At 38.1% G+C, this 8871-nt stretch overlaps 1 long non-coding RNA gene and 1 pseudogene across 5 annotated transcripts in view; one reads left to right on the plus strand and one right to left on the minus strand.

The window, feature by feature from the left end:
• LINC02794 (long intergenic non-protein coding RNA 2794) overlaps positions 1 to 7313 on the plus strand; it is a 131616-nt gene extending 124303 nt beyond the window's left edge. For 3 of the 4 annotated variants that reach the window (XR_007066068.1, XR_007066073.1, XR_007066072.1), the window contains 3 exons: positions 4436 to 4520; positions 5696 to 5783; positions 6884 to 7313. This is a non-coding gene — a long non-coding RNA (long intergenic non-protein coding RNA 2794). Of the gene's footprint in view, positions 1 to 4435; positions 4647 to 5695; positions 5784 to 6883 lie in introns of those variants that run through there. The other variant, XR_007066070.1, reaches the window with a different exon arrangement.
• Positions 1 to 8355, minus strand: part of SKINT1L (Skint1 like (pseudogene)) — an 80714-nt pseudogene extending 72359 nt beyond the window's left edge. The window contains exons 1-3 of the transcript NR_026749.2: positions 8297 to 8355; positions 7638 to 7695; positions 5082 to 5162 (exon numbers count right to left, since the gene is read on the minus strand). The product of NR_026749.2 is annotated as a Skint1 like (pseudogene) (transcript). The remainder of the gene's footprint in view (positions 1 to 5081; positions 5163 to 7637; positions 7696 to 8296) is intronic.
• Positions 8356 to 8871: the final 516 nt, after the last annotated feature.

Here is an 8871-nt window from a genome sequence, read left to right on the forward strand (position 1 = left end):
TGTTGAGGCTCAGAAACTCTCAAAGTTGATATTTAGTCCCTGACTATAATAAGATGTGGGAAGAGGGGACATTTCAAACTCTCCATGTTGGTCCCTTGCCCCACTCATTGAGGAAAGTGAAGTCTATTTTGCAAAATTAAGGCTGAGTCAGTGAAAGAGATCTAACATAACTGCCTCCGTCTTGCTTCTAAAACCCAAACTGTCCTTGTTCATTCCTGGGCATAGGCTGAGCTAACTTTGGGAGAAACTTATTTATAGTTTATAGTTTAAAACTAAGATGATGAGGTGGGGGGCAGCCCCCGCCCGGCCAGCCCCCCCGTCCGGGAGGTGGGGGGCAGCCCCCGACAGGCCAGCCGCTCCGTCCGGGAGGTGGGGGGCAGCCCCCACCCGGCCAGCCACCCCCTGCGGGAGGTGGGGGGCAGCCCCCGCCCGGCCGCTGCCCTGTCCCGGAGGTGGGGGGCGCCTCTGCCTGGCTGCCCCATCTGGGAAGTGGGGAGCCCCTCTGCCCGGCCGCCACCCAATCTGGGAGGTGTACCCAGCAGCTCATTGAGAATGGGCCATGATGACGATGGCAGTTTTGTCGAGTAGAAAGGGGGGAAATGTGGGGAGAAGACAGAGAGATCGGATTCTTGTTGTGTCTGTGTGGAAAGAGGTGGAAATGGGAGACTCCATTTTGTTCTGTACTAAGAAAAATTCTTCTGCCTTGGGATGCTGTTAATCTATAACCTTACCCCCAACCCCGTGCCCTCTGAAACATGTGCTGTGTCCACTAAGGGTTAAATGGATTAAGGGCGGTACAAGATGTGCTTTGTTAAACAGATGCTTGAAGGCAGCATACTCCTTAAGAGTCGTCACTACTCCCTAATCTCAAGTACCCAGGGACGCAAACACTGCGGAAGGCGGCAGGGCCCTCTGCCTAGGAAAACCAGAGACCTTTGTTCACATGTTTATCTGCTGACCTTCCCTCCACTATTGTCCTATGACCCTGCCAAATCCCTCTCTCCGAGAAACACCCAAGAATGATCAATAAATACTAAAAAAATTAAAAAACAAAAACAAAAAAAACTAAGATGATAACAGCCCTTTCCCAAAGCAGGCCTCCTTCTTGCCTGGGGACTAGATTGCCTCTGTAGGACTAACATTAGCTACAAGATTAGAAATTATGGCTAAAGGGCATTGCAGCTTGAGACTACAAGATTCTTACCCTCCCTAAACTGCTCCTAAGATCAGTGCTTGAGATATTTTGCAGACTCTGCAAATTTTAGTGCCTTAATCAATTAAACTCCAATTATATATTTAAAATATTGATTATTTTGAATGTGTTTTAAATGCTTATGTAACAGCAAAATATCACATATAGAGTGATTACAAGCTAGTTGTCATATTTACCTTTATGTCTATTCTAAAATAATAATAATAATGCAAGGTAAAATCATTTCATTGTTATTCTATACTAGTTTTTATATCTAACTAGATATATAATTTGATATATTCTTAAGGTTGTATAATACATATTTTATCACATTTTCCAGTTTACAACAATCTTAGAGAAAATAAAGAGAAAGAAAAAAATTTGAAAGGCATAATGGAAAATATCAGAATATTTTATGTTAAAATCAACAATACAGCACACATAACTTGATGGAACCATTTGAGATCCTGAAAATAAAAATACCTTTAAAGTACTTCAAAAAAGAAAATATGCTTATAAACTTTAAATAGAAAAACTATATTATAAAAAACAGCAGAGAATATTTCTGCAAGATATTAAATTAATTATATAAATACTACATTTTTAAAAGAGTTCTGTAATTGGCCCATGAGAAGAGAGTTCAATGGGGCAGAGTTTGGAAATGCAAATCCTTAGGGGAATTTGGTTTATGACAAAAATAACATCTCGGATATCTGAAGAAAGATGGATTACTTAATAAATAAAAAAACAACTAGGTATTTTTTGAAAAAATAATGTCAGATTTTAATCTCAATTATTATATAAGAAATCATTTTGCATGGGTTAGTTTCAAAATTTAAAATAAATGAAAGAGTCATTGTTATAATCTTGAAATGTGGTCTGGAAAACTCTTACTAAGAAAACGTAGGACTTGGACACTGTGAAAAGAAGAAACTGTTGAATTGTACAACATAAAAATAAGTCACTAAATTGAATTTCAAACTGGTCAAGAATGTATAGAAAAGGTATAACAGATCAAACACTAATTCATTATATTCAAATTTTGGTTCATTAAAATTAAAAATGTCTGCTCTGCAAAAGCTTTTGTTAAGAGAAAAAAAAGACAAGCCACAGACTAAAAAAAAATTGCAAAAGATAGCTGATGAAGGATTCTATGCAGAATATACAAATTAACAGTGTAAAAACAAACCGCACAATTAAAAATAGACAAAATATCTGAACAGATACTTTATTAAAGAAGATAGATGACAAATAAAGATGTTAAAATGCTCAAAATCATATATCATTTAGGAATTGCAAATTCAAACAATGAGATACTACCCTAAACCTATTATAAGTATGGCTGAAATCAAAAATACAAACAAGGACGTGAAGAACAGGAACTCTCATTCATTGCTGGTGGGAGTGCAAAATGGTATAGGAACTTTGGAAGACAGTTTGACATTCTTGCAAAGCTGAATATAAGCTTACTATATAATCTAGAAATTGTGCTTCTAAGTATAACCCAAATTAGTTGAAAACTTGATACAAATGCTTAAAGAGTCTTTTCTAATACTTGTTAAAATTGGAAGCAGTCAAGATGTGCTTCAGTAAGTGAATGAATAAACAAACTATGATAAGTCCATACAATGAACTATTACTCAGTGATAGAAAGAAATGAGTTATGAAGCCATTAAAAGACATGTAGGAAGATTAAATACATATTACTAAGTGAAATAAGTCAGTTTGAAAAGGGCACAGACTGTATGAATCCAACCGTATGAAATTCTGAGTCAGACCTATAGAGACAGTAAAAAGAGCAGTAATTGGCCAGGCTTCAGGGGAAGGGAGGGATGAACAGGTGAAGCACAGGACATTTTTATGATGGTGAAATTATATCCTATGATACTATAACAGTGGATACATAGCATAATACATTTATATAATGAATTTGAGAATTTCAGAGGCTTATCAAGGAAAAAGATAAGCCCACAGGTGGCAGTAGCACACAAAGCTTCTACTTGGACGCTACTTGGACAGGGTTGCAAAAAGAACAGTCCTCACAGCATAAGGCCTTATAGAAGCACAGGGGACCACCATCCAGAACGCAGGAGGACAAAGGAGCTCCCAAGGATGGGAAGGGAGATGCTGCATGTCTAGATAACATCACTTCACAGCATGGTAGGAAGCTGCTGGGTCAGAGGGCTCTGAAGGGCAGCAGCCTGCAGTTTATGTAACTACAAGATTTTTCTTATCTATGGCCGGCAGATGTTGGGTGCAGTTTCCCAAGGTGTACAAAGCAGGAAGACATAAAATGGCAAAAAAAATCTGCCTGTTGGAGATATATTTACAACAACTGGATGCGAAAACATTTCAGTTTGGCACTGTGGGCTTTTGAGCTAATGAGTCTCAGCCTGATTTAAGAAGTAAGCAACAAAGGGCCAATATGCAAAGGCCATCTCTGGCTCATTTATATAACAATTTGTTAAATCCTAGAGAATGGTACAACACAGAGTGTCTAATGTAAACTTGGACTTTTGTTAATAATAATCTATCAATATTGGTTCATTAATTTCAATAAATGTATCACACAAATGCAAGAGGTTATCAAAAGGGGAAACTCTGTGGGAGGGGGGCAGGTAGGGAAGAGGGAGTGGGGCTATGTGGGAACTTTATATACCTTCTGCACAATTTTTCTGTGAACCTAAAACTTCTATAGAAAATAAAGTCTATAAAAATGTTAAAAGTCAATGAGGAGAAAAAGGAGAGCGAAATAAATGGAAACTTGGGGGAAATTTTGTAATTCACAAAATAAAATCAAAAGTCAAAACCAAATAATTCTGCACATCCAAAATATAACTAACAAGTCCATTGAATTATAAACTGGTCAGAAACACATGCAACAGTTATAACAGATCAAAAAGAGATTTGTGCAAGTTTAATGCAAAGGAAATGTGGAGTAAGGCATTAAGTAGGCAGTTTAGAGAAAATGAATACAATTTTTTGAGAGGAAAGAAGGCCACCCTAACTCAATAAACAAGTAAAATATTATCACTGTGAGTTTCTATTTTTCATCTGTAAATTTGGAAAATACAAAAAACCCTGAAACCTGTAACACCCACCTGACAAACTCACATATGCTGTTGGTGGACATGTACACTGGTAACTATTTCAGAATATTTTTGATATCGTAATAAAAACAGCACATAGCCTTTGACAAAATAGTTCTATTCATAGAAATATTTCCTACATTCTTACTTACAGATATGCTCAAAACATATGTACAAGGGTGTTTGTGGCAGCTTTCGTTTTATTAGCCAAAGACTGGACACTACCCAACTACACATTGGTAAGATTTGTACCATGTAACAAGTAGCTTTTGCCAGAAATTTTAAATCTTGTATGCCACTTATTGGTTCAGGATTTTAATGTATATGTCTCTAAATAAACTATATTTATGTCTGCTTTGCATTGATCCCCTTCCACTGCAAATTTTCATCACCTATCGAGGTCCCACCAGCCTATTGTGTCTTTGCTTATCTTACTGTACAGATAACTCACATGGATTCCAATATGGACCACAATTTGGACAGCTTCTTCATTGTATAAGATATAAGTAAATCATGTCACCTCAATACAAATATTGAGTTCTTGAGGGCAAATGTTAGGTCTTCTTCATTTGTTGTTGTTTTTTTTTTTCTCCCTGGAACCTAATACATGATAAAGACTTGCTGATTAGAAGTAATTTTTCCTAACCATAAGACAGTTCTTATAGTACATATCCTCATTACATAACTATGTATTAAACCTAAGGAAAATGCTCAAGAGTTTGTCCCTTTTGTTTGGTCCTTGCTTTTTCTGGCACACTTCATATTGCCAAGGCCCGTAAGGGTAAGAGAGAGAGTCATACCTGAACTTGATATTGTCATCTGGAGGAGATTCATAACAACAAAGTATCTGGAGAAAGATAGCCCTGTAGTTTCCATTATACCTGTGATAAGAAATTAGGCAGGTTCAGTGAGAACAGGATTAATATGTCACAGAAATCACATATCTCCACATCTTCCTGCAGTAATTAACTCTCAAATAGAGTTACCAGATGAAACGTAGAACCCCCAGTTAGATTTGAATTTCAGATCGGCAGTGCAAGTTTTTTGGTATAAATATTTCTTGTGCATCATATAATTTTTATTTTCTAAATCTGGTAACTCTACTTTTAAGATGTTCAATATAATGACCAAGTCCAGCCAGAGGCTTCTTTCTCATTAAAGGATTTCTTCCTCCCAGGCTAGATGTCATTTGTCTTCTGGTGTTGTAAATTTCATCAGGTGAACCTGCTTTTCCAGAGAAAGTGGCAGCAGATCTAGGGAGTAGGTCTTGTTCTCCAAAACCTTAGCCTAAGCATCTGCCACATTTAGTTACATTTAGGTTCAAAGAAAAATTTAAAGACATCTTTAGATCTATTATTCTTATGGAATGAATAAGTAACCACTTTATAAGAGAATATGACTTTCTTTTCTTTAGTTGTGGCAATCCCTCAGAATTTCCTGCTTCTGAAGAACTCACAAATAGAGACAGATGAATGAGCCTATATGGCCATGGAGAACAAAGGGTAAAACACAATTGCATATTTTAGTCTAATGTGAAGGTTTTTCATCAGTTCTATAATGTTTTGGCTTTTGATTCAGCAGACAAATGTGATGGTTATCTATCCCTCAACAAAAAAAGTTTGCTAGATTCTAGGGTCATAGACAAGTGAACAGACACTTGGATAGTAACAATAATGTAAAACTGCCATCTTATGTACATGGGCAGTTCTTGCAACCTTGGAGAGCAATTCACTCTGCAGCATCATGGCAGGGAGAAGATCCACAAAGTGAAGACTTTACTAGTGAGGTGGTGTCAACATTTTGAAGAATGAGGTGGTTATCTCATAGAGTATAAAGGGAATGGGGACATACACCAGATTCAATATGCAGAAACCCTACTGAGCAAGGGAAATTGAGGAATATATTTGTCTATCAAGATTAAGGAATGAGGCAGAGAGCACACTGTGAAGGGCTTCATATGCTAGGGTAATGAATTTAAGCTTTATCCTCTAGGATAGGAACTACTAAGAGGCTAAGAGGTAGTATGCATAGTGATTAAAAGCGAGGTCCTAAAATGGTACTGCTAAGTAGAAATCCTGTTTTTACTATTTAGTTGTATGAACTTAAGCAAGTTACTATAAAAACACTCTGTGACTCTGTTTATTCAGCTGTAAGTAAGGAATAATAATTTTTCCTCATTACATTTATTGTTGGAATTGATTGAATTATTATATATAAAGTGGTCATAATGGTGCCTAATAGGTACTATACTATAAAGTATAAGTACTACAAGAAAATTAAGAATGATAAAGTATTTGTTCACTCATCATTTTTAGTATATTGAATTTTATTGTTTAAGAGGGATAAAAAGCAGGGGCTTTGGAACCAGATTCAAATCTCGACTCATAATTTTCATTAAAACAAAAAAGTCCTCATTGTCCTCAAGTTTTAGTTACTGCTTCCTGCTCCTGCTCCCTCAAGCCCAGGCCTGGTCACAATCCTTTTATTTTAGCTCCAGGATATTGCAATAGGATTTCCCTACACCTTATTCACACATTTGTAAATGATCTTTTATTTGAATGCCCCAAAATTTGAGCATTTCAACTTTTTTTTTTTTTATTAGAACCACGACTGATGAGGAACTGGTACTTAAAGTGTCTCCCAGAAAGAAACCCTCCAAATATGATTCTGAAATTGGTTTTCTTATGTATTCGAGGAGGGCACAGCTAATGTATGGATGCAATTTGCCAATATTTGAGGTACAAAGATTAACTGCAAGTGAGGAGTAAGGTACAGAGAAGAAAACAAAATGACTTGTTTGCTATGGCAAAAAATAGTAATTGTAAAGACTGTGCAGTCCTCTACCTTCTTCAGACTACCCTGGAAGACGGACTTAAGGAAAAGGGGCAATTTAAAGTTCTAAATAGACAACTGAGAACATGTTCGAAAAACCCAGAGGTCTCCATTTCAGCTCTGAAGGAGTCCCTCATCTTCTCCCTAGCCAAAAGACATGCAGTAGAGGACTTTTAGTTTTCAGGAACCTAATAGGTTAGATGGGCACATCTATAATTAAAGGGACACTCATTCACCTTGAAGGGACAGATACTCTGTTATTGGATCTGATGTCCCTGCCAGCAGCACTTCTTAATGCACAACTCATATACATACAGAATGCCCTTTCATTCCATGATATCCCATACAACAGCAGTCCCCAACCTTTTTGATACCAAGGACAGATTTCATGGAAAACAGTTTTTCCATGGACTGGGGGAAGGGAGGATTAGTTTGGTGATGTATCAAGTGCCTTAAATCTATTGGGCAGTTTATTTCTACTATTATAGCATTGTAATATGTAATGAAATAATTATGCAACTCACCATGATGTAGAATCAGTGGGAGGCCTGACCTGGTTTTCCTGCAACTAGATGGTCCCACCTGGGCGTGACAGTGGGAGACAGTGACAGATCATCAGGCATAAGGAGCATGCAATTTAGATCCCTCACATGCACAGTTTACAATAGGTTTCGCACTCCTATATTAATCTAATGCTGCTGCTGATCTGACAGGAGACGGAGCTCAGGAGGTAATGTGAGCACTGGGGATGACCTATAAATACAGATGGAGCTTCGCTTGCTGGCCCTGCACTCACTTCCTGCTGTTGGCCTGATTTCTAACAGGCCATGGAGCAGCAACAGTCTGTGGCCCAGGGGTGGGGACCCCTGCTATACAACATTGTCTCTCACAAACAGAATCATTTTACAGCAAATGAAGCACAGCAATGGGCTTAACACCATGACATTCTCTAGTCTCACCACATTCCCACAACTCAGATACAGCTGACTTCATAAAGCCTGTAATAGGCTCAGGTAGGACATGTGGGACATGCCTTAAACTAGTGGCTAACTACAGGACTGTCAAGTCCCTGGAAATGTGGAATGGAGTTCCCTCTAGATGGCACAAAGAAGAGAGAGGAATAAAAATGAAGACCATCAATGAAGCAAGGACTATGTCCGTAAATCTTACTAAATCTACTCACCTACTTGAGCCAGGTGATCCAAATCAGTTCTCTGTTGTCCCTACAGAATGAGTCTCAATTGAGTCACATGAATTTCAACAGTGCTTCAGCAGTTTTCTTGTAGCTAAGGCAGGATGTGCCAGAGTGAGATGGGGATCAGGCAAACTGCCTATCAAAGCCCTTTCCTCTGCTGTCAAACTCAGGGAATCTGATTCTGCCAGCCTGATTCTTATGTTCCAGTCCAAGGGAAATTCCCAGGGGACTGGCTGCTTCAACCTGTGGGTAGAACTCTTTGTTCAGCTTCAGTGATCACAGCTGGCAGTATGAAAGTACTAACATGACACGCCTCACTCTGAAGGAAAGCAAGATGTAACCTGATGTACATATTTCATGTAATTGGTGCTGAACAAAATGGCTGCGATGAGTTTATTTTGAATGCTGAACCTGTACCTAGAAAGGAAAGGAGGGAAGCTGTGGAAGCACAAATAAAAGGCACTAAATTCAGATTAAGCATTCAAGGAAGGTTTAGGAAGCTGATAATGGCTGAGAGGAGTCTTAAAATAAAATTACCCGCTAAGCCCAGTTAAGAAAGGCTT

This window comes from Homo sapiens, chromosome 1 (genome assembly GCF_000001405.40).
Source record: "Homo sapiens chromosome 1, GRCh38.p14 Primary Assembly".
NCBI lineage: Eukaryota > Metazoa > Chordata > Mammalia > Primates > Hominidae > Homo > Homo sapiens.